Raw genomic sequence first — 15,496 nt, 5'->3', positions numbered from 1 at the left:
ACATGAATAAGGCCAGGTGCGGTGGCTCACGTCTGTAATCCCAGAACTTTGAGAGGCCAAGGTGGGTGGATCACCTGAGGTCAGGAGTTCAAGTCTAGTGTGGTCAACATGGTGAAACCCCATCTCTACTAAAAATACAAAATTTAGCCGGGCGTGGTGGCGGGCGCCTGTAATCCCAGCTACTCAGGAGGTTGAGGCAGGAGAATCGCTTGAACCTGGGAGGCGGAGGTTGCAGTGAGCCGAGATCGCGCCACTGCACTCCTGCCTGGACGACAGAGTGAGACTCCGTCTCAAAAAAAAAAAAAAAAAAAAAAGAGTAAAGGTTGATCTAACTCTTCTGACAGCTTTGTCTCTGAAGGCTGAAGGCAGGGTGCCTCTAGACAATTGAGGTAAAGGCATCCCTTCCTCCAGGTAAATGTAACTTCGTGCCAGGGATTGTGGCTTAGCAAGCAGAACCAAGGCTGGATATCAGCTGCAGTCACTGGAGCAGTGCACAACCTGCACCGCTGTGTAAGGCTGGCAGTGGTTGGTGAGGCTGTCTACGTGACGATGCGTGAGGGCTTTAAACGGTTCAAGCCTTGATAAAGGGAAAGGAATTATGATGGCCCAGACCCTTGACCAGATCTCGGTCTCATGTTGAAATTAGAAGTATGTCTTATTGACCCTGACCTGTCTTCCTCTCCTTCTAGGTGACTTGCTTTTGGAGGGCTTCAACAACTACACCTTCCTCTCCAATGGCTTTGTGCCCATCCCAGCAGCCCAGGATGATGAGATGTTCCAGGAAACCGTGGAGGCCATGGCAATCATGGGTTTCAGCGAGGAGGAGCAGCTATGTAAGCCTCACACCTTGAGTCTGGAGGGTAGCTTGCCTGGATACCAGTGGAACCTGTTAAGAACTCTTCTCTGGTCAGGACAGATTTCTGCTCTCTGAATTCCCCACCTTCCATTAAAAAAAAAAAAAAAAAAGGAGGAAAATGAATTTTATTCTAGGTGGTTTGTTTGTGTTGTAGAAAAGTGGCTGTATAACTAGGGTTGCAAGTAACCCGAGCTGGCTTAAACCAAAGGGAAAGTGACTAACTCAGAATGTTGAGAAGTTCAGGGAGGTTAGGCACAGTGGTTCAGGTCTGTAATCTCAGCGCTTTGCGGGGCCAAGGTGGGCGGATCACTTTAGGTCAGGAGTTCGAGACCAACCTGGTCAATTTGGTGAAACCCTGTCTCTACTAAAAATACAAAAAAAAAATTAGCCAGGGCTGGTGGTGCACACTTGTAGTCCTAGCTACTCAGGAGGCTGAGGTGGGAGGATTGCTTGAACCCGGAAGGCAGAGGTTGCAGTGAGCCAAGATTACACCACTCCACTCCAGCTTGGGAGATGGAGCTAGACTCCATCTCAAAAAAAAAAAAAGTTCAGGAATTCAAGCTTCAGGTACAGTGAGATCTAGGTGTTCAAAAGATTTTTCTAGAACCTAATTTCTTGTCTTCTATCTCTCTCGACTACATTGTTTCTCTATAGGATGCAGTTTGTTGACAGCAACATAGCTGGGTTCCAGCCCTTATATTCTTTGGGTTTATGTCCAAAGAACAGAGTAGATTCCCGGCTTAAGTTCCTGAATGGAGTGTCATTGACTCTGATTGGTTGGCTTAGGTTGATATGCACATTCCTGAGCTATGCAGCATAGGCAGGGTTGTGGAAAGCGCAGGGTGGTTTCATTATGGTCCCTAAGAATGGATTCTTGGAGCTGAAGGTAGAGATGTTGGCCTCATCAGGAACATGTGGGCAGGGTTTAGGGGAGGGGGAGTGATCGAGGCAGTGGATTTACTCAGGCTTTTCCTGGAGGGGTTGCTCTGGTGATCAATTGATATTGATCAAAATCATCCAACCAATGGCCAAGAAACACACTGGGTCTTGAGAACAGGACAGCTCAGAAAGAAATTCTTGGTCGGGACACTGTGTTTCCAGAAACGATTTTCCTTCTGCGTTAGATGTGCCTCAGTGTTGAAGGTTAATCTCTTTCAGGAACACCAGGACAGAACTGTGGAAAGTTTCCCTTCCTTCCCACGCCTACGCCCGTTTGGAGCCCCAGAATAGCACTGAGGTTGCTGAAATGCTGCATAAGGGGAGGGGCAGCTCCTCCGAAGATAACTTGGGGTCTGGAAAATTAGGCTGTATGGGTCAGTTGACAAATGGATGGTGTATGTGGGTCTTGGCCAGGGTCCCACATCAGAATCTAGTGCTGATAGCCTCCTTGTCTGAATGACATAGGCCCTCCAAGAATGATTCATTTCATTTGGGACAGGGGTCAGTTTTGCTTCTAATCTTGCTTTTAAATAACAATGAACAATGGTTAAGTATTTGCTGTGTGCCAGGAATTTACCAAATCCTTTTTTCTTGATGTACTACACTGTTCAGTATAGTTTTATTTAAATAATAAAAAACTGGAACAGGCTGGGCACAGTGGCTCATGCCTGTAATCCCAGCATTTGGAGACACTGAGGCAAGAGGATTGCTTGAGCCCAGGAGTTCGAGACCAGCCTGGATAACACAGTGAGACTCTGTCTCTACAAAAAAAATAAATAGAAAAAAACTGGAACAAACTAAAATAGGTTGATTAATAGAGGGTTTATTAAATCATTGTCTGTCCTTGTGAAAGAAAACAATGAGACCATTTAAATTGTTTTGCTGGGCATGGTGGCTCACGCCTGTAATTCCAGCACTTTGAGAAGCCAAGGCAGGCAGATCACTTGAGCTTGAGTTTGAGACTAACCTGGGCAACATGGCAAGATCCCTTCTCTACAAATAATACAAAAAATTAACTGGGTGTGGTGGTGCACACTGTAGTCCCAGCTACTTGGGAGACTGAGGCAGGAAGATTGCTTGAGCCCAGGAGGTCGAAGCTGCAGTGAGCCGAGATCACACCACTCTGTCACCTAGGCTGGAGTACGGTGGCGCAGTCTCAGCTCACTGCAATCTCTGCCTTGCAGGCTCAAGCAGTCCTCCCAGCTCAGCCTCTCAAGTCGTTGAGACTACAGACATGTGCTACCACGCCTGGCTAATTTTTGATTTTAGGGTTTTTGTTTTGTTTTGTTTGAGATGGAGGCTTGCTATTGTCACCCAGGCTGGAGTGCAGTGGCACGACCTCGGCTCACTGCAACCTCTGCCTCCTGGGTTCAAGCAATTCTCTTGGCTGAGCCTCCTGGGTAGCTGGGATTATAGGCGCCCACCACCATGCCCCACTAATTTTTTTTGTATTTTTAGTAGATACTGGGTCTCGCCATGTTGGCCAGGCTGGTCTTAAACTCCTGACCTCAGATGATCCACCCATCTTGGCCTCCCAAAGTGCTGGGATTGCAGGCATGAGCCACCGTGCCTGGCCTGGGGTTTTTTGTTTTGTTTTGGTTTGATTTTTGGAGGGGTGGGTAGAGACAAGGCTTCACCATGTTATCCAGTATTCTCTGGTCTTGAACTCCTGGGCTCAAACAATCAGCCCACCTTGGCCTCCCAAAGTGCTGGGATTACAGGCATGAGCCACCATGCCCAGTCCCCAGTGTTCTCAATGTACTTTGGCACTTGTTTCCCCTTTAACCACAGAGACCAGACTCCAGGCCCAGCACCTTCGGCAGCCCCAAGCATCTAGCTAGAATTTGGTAATACTGTTTTCCTTGTATTTATATTTATAATTGCCATCTATTTATGGCAAGTGAAGATGATTTGTCACTGAAGATAGAGAAAGTTTTCTATTAAAACAAATGTAAGGAAAGAGAAGGAAGTAAATTTAAAGAAAATGATTAAGCAAATAATGGAGCAGATGGTACACAGAGCAAGCATTCAGACGATGGCGTGCAAATGACGAACTCTCATAGGAACCAACTTAGTCCTAAATGTACACCAACCCCATTTATAAACCAAGAGCTACTTCCAAACCCTCCATCAAGGGGCCTATGGAGAAGGGGGTGGGTCAGGCTTCAGGCTGGAGCTTCATGAGGCTCCAAGTGACCAGGGGACACCAGGATTTTCCCCACCACATTGGGTTCTGCAGCCTTGAACTCCTGGCCTCAAGATATCCTCATGCGCCACCATGCCTGGCCTGGTTATACTGCTTCTAATGTATTTTGAAGATAAAAAATAAAATCACCTAAATTGTCCATCCTGTGTATCCCTGGTGGTACACATGTCTGATGTTGGAAAGTCCTGTTTCTTATTCCTCAGCAAGAAGAGAGGTGTAAGGCCACTGTAAAAAATTAGCACAAACTTGATGCCTTAAAACAACAGGAATTTATTCTCTCCCAGTTCTGGAGGCCAGGGTTCTGAAATCAGGGTGTCGGCAGGAGCCGGGCATAATGGCTCATGCCTGTAATCCCAGCACTTTGGGAGGCCAAGGCAAGAGGATCGTTTGAGGCCAGGAGTTCAAGACCAGCCTGAGCAACATAGCAAGACCCCTTCTCTACTAAAAATTTAAAAAAAAAAAATTTTTTTTTTTTTAAAAGACAAGATGTTGGCAGGGGTTGTTCCTCCTGGAGGCACTGAGGGAGATCTGTTCCTTGCCTCTGTCCTGGCTTCTGGTGGCTCTGGCTGTTCCTGGCTTTTCCTTGGCTTGTCTCACTCCAGTCTCTGCCTCATCCTTCATGTGGCATTCTACTCTGTGGGTCTTCTCTTCTGTCCATCATAAAGACACTTGACATTAAATGTAGGGCCCACCAGGTTAATCCAAGATGATCTCATCTTGAGATCTTGTACTTGATTCCATCTGCGAAGACCGATTTTTTCCAAAATAGGCCACGTTCAGGCTGGGCGCGGTGGTTCACGCCTGTAGTCCCAGCTCTCAGGGAGGCAGAGGCGGGAGGATAGCTTGAGCCCAGGAGTTCGAGACCTGCCTGGGCAATATAGTGAGACCCCGGTATCCACAAAAAGGAAAAAAAAATAAATGTAACCCCCCAAATTAGGCCACATTCACAGGTTCCAGGTGGACATATTTTAGAAAGACCAACATTCAACCTAATATAGGTGGCTTCCACTCTTTATCACCTACTAGGCCAGGCCCTTGCTCAGCATCTTACAAGACCTAAACTTCACGAAGCAGGTACTACTGTTACCATCTCCGTTTTGCAGATAGGGAAACTGAGGCTCATGGGACTTATTGAGACTCATGTAGAGTCTCTATCCTCTATTCATCCATGATTCATCCATCAATCCATCCTCTATCATCCATCTATCCTCTACTCATCCTTCCATCACCCATCCATCCATCACCCATCCGTCCATCCATCTACCCACCCATCCATCCATGAACCCATCCTCTATACATTTATACATTCATCCATCCATTCACCCTCCATCTGCCATCCATCCATCTCCCTCCCTCCCCATGTGTATCTGGACCCGGAACTAGGATTTGGAAATTCAGAGATAATGAGATTTATAAGAAGCAAAGCTGGGATTTGAACTCAGGACTCTCTAACTGCAGAGCGCGTGCTTTGCACCAGCACACCAGGATGCTGCCAGCCGTCACCACCCTTGCTGTGTTGTGTCTCCTCACTGGTTTACTTCTTTGCTGTCTGCTAATTCTGCCCCAAGGTTCATCTCTTATGGCCTGGGAGTGGTGGCATTCTTTTGTCATTTCTGGAATTACATTTAACTATACCAGAAAGTGCAAACCAATGGTTCCTGAGCCCACAGGAGAGATCGGCCACTACAACCTTCAAAATTTTTAGAAATTGGTTCCTAAAGTTTAAATATGGGTAGGCCGGGCACTGTGGCCTATAATCCCAACCCTATGGGAGGCCAAGGCACATGGATCACTTGAAGTCAGGAGTTTGAGACCAGCCTGGCCAACATGGTGAAACTCCGTCTCTACTAAAAATAGAAAAATTAGCCGGGTGTGGTGGCACACGCCTGTAATCCCAGCTACTCTGGAGGCTGAGGCAGGAGAATTCCCCTGAACCTGGGAAGCGCAGAGGTTGCAGTGAGCCGAGATTGCACCAATGCACTCCAACCTGGGTGACAGCAAGACTCAGTCTCACACACACACACACACACACACACACACACACACACACACACACCAAAAAACATGGGTACACTTCACATAAAAACTCTGGGTTTCCATTATCTAGAAAAATCAGAAGTTCCAGCAACACTTGGCTTATATCCCCTGTGGCAATGACGGAGTAGCTGCTGGCCCCTTCAGATGGGTTTGTGGCCTCCTTGGGTCCCCACAGTCCTCATTAGTTGGCTTTGTTCATTTAGACCAGTGGTTCTCTGCCAGAGGTGAGTTTGCCTCCCAGGGGACATTGAGTAGTATCTGGTGACATTTGTGGTTGTCACAACTCTGTCAGGGTAACCACCACTGACATCTAGTGGTTAGAGGCCAGGGATGCTACTAAACTTCCCATGATACCCAGGACAGCTCCCCACAATAGAGAATTATCTGGCCCCCAATTTCTGCAGTGACAAGATTGAGAAACCCTGAGTTGGCCGGCTCGCCTGGGCTGTGCAGGCATTTCAGGAATCTTTAGTTTAAATTGACACTTTTAAAACTGTGAGTGCAACTCTTCATAGTTTACAAAGACTCTTTCATAGATGTTATGGTTAAAAGGAAGTGTGTTTCCAAGCCCTGTCAACAGCAGCTTCATTCATTTTGGGGAGAAGGCTTTCTACCATAGTAAGTGGGAGCAAATGGATGGGTGGTCAGCAGCTGGGTCCTTTTGCTGAGCTGGGCCAGGGACCCCATGGCGTGAGAATAGCTGTTGTGAAGGGCCTTGTAATGTCTGGTTTGGCCTGAGGAACCAGAGAAGTCTGGGATCTCTAGGCTTTGTTCCTGGAACATAGTGACTGATTTGAAGCCAGAACTCTGGGTGATTTGTACCTGAGTTAAGCTAAGCCAAGAATTTGCATTAATCATCATCCATCCATTCATCCATCTACCATCCATCCATCATCTGTCCATCCATCCATTCATCCATCCATCATCCATCCATCAATGCTGTATCCATTCCTCCATCAATTCTCCATCCATCTATCCATCGTCTATCCATCAATCCTCTGTCCATTCCATCTATCCATCTATCCTCTATCCATCCATCCATCATCCGTCTATCCTCTATCCATGAATTATTCATCCATCAATCCATCCTCTATTCATCCATCTATCCTCTACTCATCCGTCCATCATTCACCCATTCATCTACCCACCCATCCATCCATCCGTCCATTCATCCATGAACCCATCCTCTATCCATTTATTCATTCATCCATCCATCCACCTTCCACCTACCATCCATCCATCTCTCTCCCTCCCTCCCATGTGTATCAGGACCTTGGAATAGGCTTTGGAAATTCAAAGATGATTAGGGCAGGCCCTCCACTCTCCAGAAACTCATGGTCTTATGGGGATTTCAGACATAGAAACTATTTTAACAGTAACATGGCCTGAGTATGGAGTCAGAAAGGTTCCAAGTATTCTGGGAACACAGCGTTTTTGTTTGGAGACACCTGGACAACAAGTGGAAACAAATGTATATCTTCTTCATCCCAACATGGGCATCTGTTACACCCAGAAGAGTATGTAAGAAGCACAGGGTTTTTATTTCAAAAATCCTTTTATTGACATATGATTTACATGGAGAAAATTGTGTATGCCATAGCGTGCAGTGCAAAGAATTATTATAAACTGAACACGTCTGTGTAACTAGAATCCATTTTAAATAAGACAATGCCACCAGCCCCATGGAAGCTCCCACATGCACCTTCTAAGAACTTCCCTCAATTAAGGATAATCATTATCCTGACTTCTAACAGCATCGATTAGTTTTGCCTCTTCTTGAATGGACGGTCTATATATGGACTTAGACAGTATGTTCTTGTTTCCATCTGTCCTCTTTTGTTCGGTATTTGTGTCTGGAAGATATGTCAGGGTTTTTTTTTTGTTTTAGAGACAGGATCTCCCTACATTGCCCAGGCTGTATCAAGCTCCTGGCTTCAAGCAGTTCTCCCACCTCAGCCTCCCAAAGTGCTGGGGTCGCAGGCATGAGTCACTATGCTGGCCCCAATACATCAGTTTTGATTTGTGGTAGTTGTAGCTCATTCATTCTCACTGTTCTGTGGCAGGGGTTGCTAACACATTTTTCTGTAAAGGGTCAGATAGTAAATTCTTTAGCCTTTGTAGGCCAGACGATCTTTGTTGCAACTCATTAACTCTGCCAGTGTAGCATGCAAATAGTTACAGACAATATGTAAATGAATGAGTATAGCTGTTTTCCACTAAAACTTTATGTATAATAGCAAGCAGTGGGCCAGATTTGGTCCATGGGCTGTAATTTGCCAGTCCCTGCTGCGTGGCATTCCATTGTAATGCAAGGTTTTAAGCAACCATATGAAAATATTGAGCTCAGAATCTAGTTTCTTCAGAGGAAAGATGTAAGCTGGCTCTGGGTCCCCAGTGGCTTTAGGCTCCAAAACTCCAGGGTACCTTGGCATTGACCTTTGTGTCTGCTCTGCCCTTCTCTCCCCACCTCAGCCATATTGAAGGTGGTATCATCGGTCCTGCAGCTTGGAAATATCGTCTTCAAGAAGGAAAGAAACACAGACCAGGCGTCCATGCCAGATAACACAGGTACTTGCCACTTTTTCCTGATGACCAATGACTTTGGGGTTGGGGGGGTGGGGGAGGTGACATTTAACCACTGGTTATTTTTCAAGGTGAAGGTATCTGGGATTTTAACAACAGTTGGACTAGGTTCTTATCACTCACTTTTTCAAACTTTTCAGTGCTCAAGACCCTATGTGGAAAGTTATTGAATCAGAGCGCAGGGATTAAAAAAAAACAAACCTAATAGTTTTATTTATTTGTTCTTTTTTTTAAATACAAAATTTTACAAGTTTTAATAGAGACGAGGTCTCGCTGTGTTGCCCAAGCTGATCTTGAACTCCTGAGCTCAAGTGATCCTCCCACCTTGGCCTCCCAAAATGCTGGGATTACAGGCAAGAGTCATCACGTCCTACCCCTAATAGTGACCAGACAAGATCCCGAGGGACCATCTCTTCTAAAATACCCCACTTAATTGTTTTGTTAAAGAAATATTTCTCAAGCCCCTGCAATATGCCACTGGGATACAGCAGGAAATGACACAAGAATAGCTCTTCTTACGGTATCTGTGGTCGTCTTGGGGAGACAGACCTCAATTGCCCTGAGAATTAGGGGTGCCAGATAAAATACAGGATGTCCAGATAAATTTCAATTTTAGGTAAACAACAAACCTTTTTTTAAATTTTAATTATGTCCCTTGTAACATTTGGACCGTGATTATACCAAAAGAGTATTCTTGTTTATCTGAAATTCAGGTTTAACTGAGCATCCTGTAATTTTCCCCCTAAATCTGATAAACCTACCCACAAATAAACAGTATTTTGTGTTTTGAGAAGCTGGCCTGGCTACCACTATGCTTGTTGGTGGCTGAGCTGAGAGCAAAACTTAGGTTTCTTATTTCCCAGCCCAGGCTGTATATTGTGTTGCTTTTTCCCGCTCCCTAGAGCCCACCTTGATCAAACCTGTTGCAACCGCTTACTGGGTTTACCTTGCCCACAGCCTAGACAGAGCCAATTAATCAAGACAGGGGAATTGCGATAGAGTAAGAGTAACTCACGCAGAGCCGGCTGCATGGGAGAACAGAGTTTTATTATTACTCAAATCAATCTCCTTGAGCATTCGTGGATCAGAGTTTTTAAGCATAATGTGGTTAGGGGGAGGCCAGTGAGTTGGGGGTGCTGATTGGTTGGGTCAGAGATGAAATTACAGGGAGTCGAAGCTGTCCTCTTGCCCTGAGTCAGTTCCTGGACAGAGGCCATAAGATCAGATGAGCCAGTTTCTCGATCTGGGTGGTGTCAGCTGATCCACCTGGTGCCAGGGTCCGCAAAAATATCTCAAGTACTGGTCTTAGGTTTTACAATAGTGATGTTATCCCCAGGAGCAATTTAGGGAGGGTCAGACTCTTGTAGCCTCCAGTTACAGGACTCCTAAACCATAATTTCAAACCTTTGGGCTAATTTGTTATTCCTACAAAGGCAGTCTAGTCTCCAGGCAAGAAGGGGGTTTGTTTTGGGAAAGGGTTCTTGTGTTTTAAACTATAAACTAAGAGGCTAGGCGTGGTGGCTCATGCCTGTAATCCTAGGATTTTGGGAGGCCCAGGCAGGTGGATCACTTGAAGTCAGGAGTTCAAGACCAGCCTCGCCAACATGGTGAAACCCCATCTCTACTAAAAATACAAAAATTAGCCAGGCGTAGTGGCAGGCGCCTGTAATCCCAGCTACTCAGGAGGCTGAGGCAGGAGAACTGCTTGAACGCAGGAGGCGGAGATTGCAGTGCGCCGAGATTGTGCCACTGCACTCCAGCCTGGGTAACAGAGTGAGACTCTGTGTCCAAAACATAAAAAATAAACTATAAACTAAGTTCCTGCCAAGTTAATTCGGCTTACACCCACAAATGGTTCAGTGGAGCTTGGAGGTTAGAAGCAAGGTGGAGTCCGTTAGGTCAGATCTTGTTCAGTGTCTCAGTTATAATTTTGCAGTGGCAGTTTCATTCTCAGGTGTTTGTTATGTATTAGAGTCCCTAAATCTGGCAAATTAATGGAATCCGGATGCCAAGGAAAGACCTCAGGGAAAGAGAAATGAAAAAGTGCTCTTGCCAAGAGATGGGGAAAAAAAAATCCTAAAATCACTCTATTTACTCTGCCTTGCACATGCAAAGCAGCATGTAATGCTATTTTCATGTTAAGGGACCAGCTCGTGGTCACACCACTGCACTTCAGCCCGGGCGACAGGAAGACTGCATCTCAAAATAAAAGAAGAGCATTTAGGTTGACTCTAGCATTTTGCTATTGCAAACAATGCTGCAACACATATCCTAGAAGGGTGAAAGAAATATTTATTGAACAGTAACTGTTCAATAAATGTTACTATTAATAACTATTTAATACTTACTAAGTAACTGTTAAATAAATCTCAAGGGCCAGTGGCTCACGCCTGTAATCCCAGCACTTAGGGAGGCCGAGGTGGGCGGATTGCCTGAGTTCAGGACTTCGAGACCAGCCTGGGCAACACGGTGTAACTCCATCTCAACTAAAATACAAAAGAAATTAGCTGGGTGTGGTGGCAGGCACCTATAATGCCAGCTACTCGGGAGGCTGAGGCAGGAGAATTGCTTGAACCCGGAAGGCGGAGGTTGCAGTGAGCTGAGATCGCGCCACTGCACTCCAGCCTGGGCGACAGAGCGAGACTCTGTCTCCAAAAATAAATAAATAAATAAACAAATAAATAAATAAATAAATCTATCTATCTCAGGGACTTTACATACTTTACCTTATTTAGTCCTGGGTACCAACAAGGTACCGAAGAGCTGACCCTTTTTAAAGCTGAGAAAAGCAAGATGCTGGGAGGGTAAAGAGCTTTTCCAAAGTCACATGACTTGGAAGTGTGAAGGGACAGGGACTTGAAACTAGAACTACCTGACCCTAAACCCCCAACTGGGGCCTGCTTCAGCCCACCCCAATCATTGCCTCTCAGCAAAATACTGGGGAGTGTGACCACTAATGACAGCAGCCTTTAGGACACTTCAAGCTATATTCATGGTCAGCGGGTCCCATTTCCCCAAGAGAACCCGCTGTATTCACAGATCACAAATATCCCATGCGATGTGTCTTCTTGCCAAGCTATTTCTTTTGTGATGCACTCACGATGTTTCTTTTCTCCATCCAGCTGCTCAGAAAGTTTGCCACCTCATGGGAATTAATGTGACAGATTTCACCAGATCCATCCTCACTCCTCGTATCAAGGTTGGGCGAGATGTGGTACAGAAAGCTCAGACAAAAGAACAGGTAATGATGTACTTATCACTTATCCATCCATGCACCCACCCATCCATCCATTCATCCATCTATCCACCTGTTCACTCATTCATGTATTCATTAATCCATTCACCCATGGTCTGCCTCTGCATCTGTCCATCCATCCATCTTTCTACCCACTCATTCATCTGTCTGTTCATCCATCCATCCATCCATCCATTCATCTGCCCATCTATCTGCTCACCCATCATCTCTCCATCCCTCACTCATCCATCTGTCCATCCATCCATGACCCAGCCATCTGTCCATCTGTCCGTCCATCCATCACCCATCCAGCTGTCATTCCATTCATTCATTCATTCATTCATCTGTCCATGCATCCACCCATCCATCTCTTTATCCCTCATTTATTCAATACTAGAATATTCACAGTCCCATGTCAGGTTTTGTTTGTTTGTTTGTTTTTTGTTTTTGAGCCAGAGCCTTGCTCTGTTGCCCAGGGGGGGGTGCAGTGGTGCCATCGCAGCTCACTGTAGCCTCTGCCTCCCAGATTCAAACGATTCTCCTGCCTCAGTCCCCCAAGCAGCTGGGACTACAGGCATGCACCACAACGCCTGGCTAATTTTTGTATTTTTAGTAGAGAAGGGTTTTTGCCTTGTTGGTCAGGCTGGTCTTGAACTCCCGACCTCAAGTGACCCACCTGCCTCGGCCTCCCAAAGTGCTGGGATTACAGTGTGAGTCACTGCACCCGGCCAAGAATAAAAATCTTCACCACCAGCCTGGCTTATGTGAAAATGGAGCCCATTGAGAATAACCGGGTTCCCCTGGTTGCCCTCTGCAGGCTGACTTTGCTGTAGAGGCTTTGGCCAAGGCAACATATGAGCGCCTTTTCCGCTGGATACTCACCCGCGTGAACAAAGCCCTGGACAAGACCCATCGGCAAGGGGCTTCCTTCCTGGGGATCCTGGATATAGCTGGATTTGAGATCTTTGAGGTACAGCTCGGTGGGATCCTAAGAGCCATGGTCTTGGTTGTCTGAGATGGGCTTTTTCTTGGAGGAGTCATGATTTTGGAGAAAGGCATGTAGATGGCTACTGTAGGGTAGGAGGCTGTCTAGTTAAGGGTGGATCATTGAGGGTATAAGAGACAGAAATCCAACAGGAAATGCATTGGTTTCTGGAACTGAGAAGGCCAGACATGTAGCTGGATCCCGTAGGCAGGGTCTGATCTCCCGCCATCGTTCTCTCTCTCTCTCTGCCTTCCTCCATATTGGCTCCATTCTCAAGCAGGCTCTCCCCTCACGGGGGCAAGATGGCTGCCACAGCTCCAGACTGCCTCTCAGTAATCCTGGTAAAAAAAAAAAAAAAAAAAAAGCACATATCTCTTTTCTAACAGTTCCAACCAAAATCTTGGAATTAAGTCTCACTGACTCTTACTCACCTGAATTGGGCTACATGGTCACCTCCAAGCCAAGAACTGTTTGCAGGAGCTTGCAATACCTCATGTAGTAGAAACATGGATATTGGATCCTTTACCCATGGGTTTGAAGAAAGTTCTCAGAGAAAGGGAAGGTTTTTTTTTTGTCTTGTCTTGTTTTTTTTTTTTTGAGACAGAGTCTTGCTCTGTCGCCCAGACTGGAATGCAGTGTCACAATTTTGTCTCACTGCTGCCTCCGCCTCCTGGGTTCAAGCAATTCTCTTGTCTCAGCCTCCTGAGTAGCTGGGACTACAGGAGTGTACCACTGTGCCCAGCTAATTTTTTTTTTTTTTTTAGACAGAGTCTCGCTCTGTTGCCCAGGCCGGAGTGCAGTAGTGCAATCTTGGCTCACCGCAACCTCCGCCTCCCAGGTTCAAGTGATTCTCCTGCCTCAGCCTCTCGAGTAGCTGGGATTAGTGCCACCATGCCTGGCTACTTTTTTTTTTTTTTTTGGTAGAGACAGAGTTTCACCCTGTTGGCCAGGCTAGTCTCAAACTCCTGATCTCAAATGATCCACCAGCCTCGGCCTCCCAAAGTGCTGGGATTACAGGTATGAGCCACTGTGCTTGGCCAATTTTTGTATTTTTAGTGGAGAGAGGTTTCGCTATGCTTGCCAGGCTGGTCGCAAACTCCTGACCTCAAGTGATCCTCCCGCCTTGGCCTCCCTAAGTGCTGGGATTACAATCATGAGCACTACACCCAGCCAGGAGGTTTTAAGATTGATAGATGTCCCGAAAGAAGTGTACTACCGAGTCACTTTCTCTCTGCGCCTCTGTTTTCACATCTGTAAAATGTTTCCACATCTGTACATGCAGTAGCGTGCCTTACGAGGTTTGTCCATCCATAGATGGTTGTGCAGATGGAGGAGATAAGCATCTTTAAGGTGTGTGAGGGCCATGTGATATCAACTTCACCAGCCCTGGTGGACTCTAGGCAGCATGTTTTGGGGCCTCAGCCCTGTCTGGGTGCTGGGATGGCAGAACAGGATGTGGGCGGGCCATGGGGGCGCTGTCGGGTGGAGCTTCTGTGGGGCTCCTTGTCTTCTGACTTCATACCAAGATGCTCACGCCCCGCCCCCACGCCATGTGCTCAGGTGAACTCCTTCGAGCAGCTGTGCATCAACTACACCAACGAGAAGCTGCAGCAGCTCTTCAACCACACCATGTTCATCCTGGAGCAGGAGGAGTACCAGCGCGAGGGCATCGAGTGGAACTTCATCGACTTTGGGCTGGACCTACAGCCCTGCATCGAGCTCATCGAGCGACCGGTGAGGGGCACGTGGGCGTGCGGGGCTCCGTCACACCTTGTACACGTGTGTGGCCTCTGTGGAGCCGACGTGGACCCCACACTCTCCCCATGCACATAGCATTCCCCCACCCAATCCATCACCCAGTCCTGAAAGGCTGTAAGCTGAATCCTTGTGAACTCTTACAATTTCCATTAACCCACATTTTCATATCAAAGGTATTTTCTTTAATTTCTGCCTTCCTTCCATCCTCTTTTTTCTTCCTTTTTTTCTTCCCTACCCTCTTTCCCTTCCCTTTCCTTCTCTGCCATTGCTTTTTTTTTTTTTTTTTTTTTTTTTATGACATGGTCTGACTCTGTTGCCCAGGCTGGAGTGCAGTGGCACAATCTTGCCTCACTGCAACCTCCACCTCCCTGCCTCAAGTGATCCTCCCGCCTCAGCCTCCCAAGTGGCTGAGACTACAGGCGTGCACCACCACGCCCACCTAACTTTTGTATTTTCAGTAGAGACAGGGTTTCTACTAATTAGCCGGGCCTGGTGGTGCACGCCTGTGGTCCCAGCTATTTGGGAGGCTGAGGTGGGAGGATTGCTTGAGCCCTGGAGGCAGAGGTTGCTGTAAGCCGAGATTGCGCCACTGCATTCCAGCCTGGATAACAGAGTGAGACCCTGTCTCCAAAAAAAACTTTTCTAACAGGAACCCTAGGTGAATTCAAGTCAAGCAACAAATTCATTTGCAAGAATTATGAACTCGGCCGGGCGCGGTGGCTCATGCCTGTAATCCCAGCACTTTGGGAGGCCGAGGCGGGCGGATCACGAGGTCAGGAGATGGAGACCATCCTGGCTAACACGGTGAAACCCCGCCTCTACTAAAAATAGAAAAAATCAGCCGGGCGCCGTGGCAGGCGCCTGTAGTCCCAGCTACTCGGGAGGCTGAGGCAGGAG

General features: G+C 46.8%; 1 protein-coding gene and 2 long non-coding RNA genes across 6 annotated transcripts in view, besides 3 other annotated features; 1 reads left to right on the top strand and 2 right to left on the bottom strand.

The window, feature by feature from the left end:
* MYH11 (myosin heavy chain 11) overlaps nucleotides 1-15,496 on the top strand; it is a 153,894-nt gene that overhangs the window by 84,627 nt on the left and 53,771 nt on the right. For all 4 annotated transcript variants that reach the window (NM_002474.3, NM_022844.3, NM_001040114.2 and 1 more), the window contains 5 exons: nucleotides 690-833; nucleotides 8,511-8,606; nucleotides 11,744-11,862; nucleotides 12,674-12,826; nucleotides 14,402-14,575. In NM_002474.3, coding sequence (NP_002465.1) covers nucleotides 690-833; nucleotides 8,511-8,606; nucleotides 11,744-11,862; nucleotides 12,674-12,826; nucleotides 14,402-14,575 — 686 coding nt within the window. The remainder of the gene's footprint in view (nucleotides 1-689; nucleotides 834-8,510; nucleotides 8,607-11,743; nucleotides 11,863-12,673; nucleotides 12,827-14,401; nucleotides 14,576-15,496) is intronic.
* Nucleotides 6,196-6,490: a silencer, noted in NCBI's record as "tiled region #5546; HepG2 Repressive non-DNase unmatched - State 12:CtcfO, and K562 Repressive DNase matched - State 12:CtcfO". NCBI's record gives its function as "represses a minimal TATA promoter and a strong SV40 promoter by Sharpr-MPRA in HepG2 and K562 cells {active_cell/tissue: HepG2 | K562}" and the evidence as "EXISTENCE:reporter gene assay evidence [ECO:0000049][PMID:27701403]".
* Nucleotides 9,652-11,066, bottom strand: LOC124903651 (uncharacterized). The gene is made up of 2 exons (XR_007065005.1): nucleotides 10,970-11,066; nucleotides 9,652-10,820 (listed from the first exon to the last, which is right to left on the bottom strand). It is a non-coding gene; the product is annotated as an uncharacterized LOC124903651 (long non-coding RNA).
* LOC124903650 (uncharacterized) lies at nucleotides 12,675-13,467 on the bottom strand. Its single transcript, XR_007065004.1, has 2 exons — nucleotides 13,273-13,467; nucleotides 12,675-13,179 (listed from the first exon to the last, which is right to left on the bottom strand). It is a non-coding gene; the product is annotated as an uncharacterized LOC124903650 (long non-coding RNA).
* Nucleotides 13,967-14,600: an enhancer, noted in NCBI's record as "H3K4me1 hESC enhancer chr16:15851659-15852292 (GRCh37/hg19 assembly coordinates)". NCBI's record gives its function as "activates a minimal SCP1, AML or CMV promoter by ChIP-STARR-seq in primed H9 embryonic stem cells {active_cell/tissue: H9 hESC(primed)}" and the evidence as "EXISTENCE:reporter gene assay evidence [ECO:0000049][PMID:30033119]".
* Nucleotides 14,601-15,234: an enhancer, noted in NCBI's record as "H3K4me1 hESC enhancer chr16:15851025-15851658 (GRCh37/hg19 assembly coordinates)". NCBI's record gives its function as "activates a minimal SCP1, AML or CMV promoter by ChIP-STARR-seq in primed H9 embryonic stem cells {active_cell/tissue: H9 hESC(primed)}" and the evidence as "EXISTENCE:reporter gene assay evidence [ECO:0000049][PMID:30033119]".

The sequence above is a fragment of the Homo sapiens genome, chromosome 16, assembly GCF_000001405.40.
Source record: "Homo sapiens chromosome 16, GRCh38.p14 Primary Assembly".
NCBI lineage: Eukaryota > Metazoa > Chordata > Mammalia > Primates > Hominidae > Homo > Homo sapiens.
The sequence above is the reverse complement of the archived record's forward strand: the minus strand, read 5'-3'. Positions and strand labels throughout refer to the sequence as shown.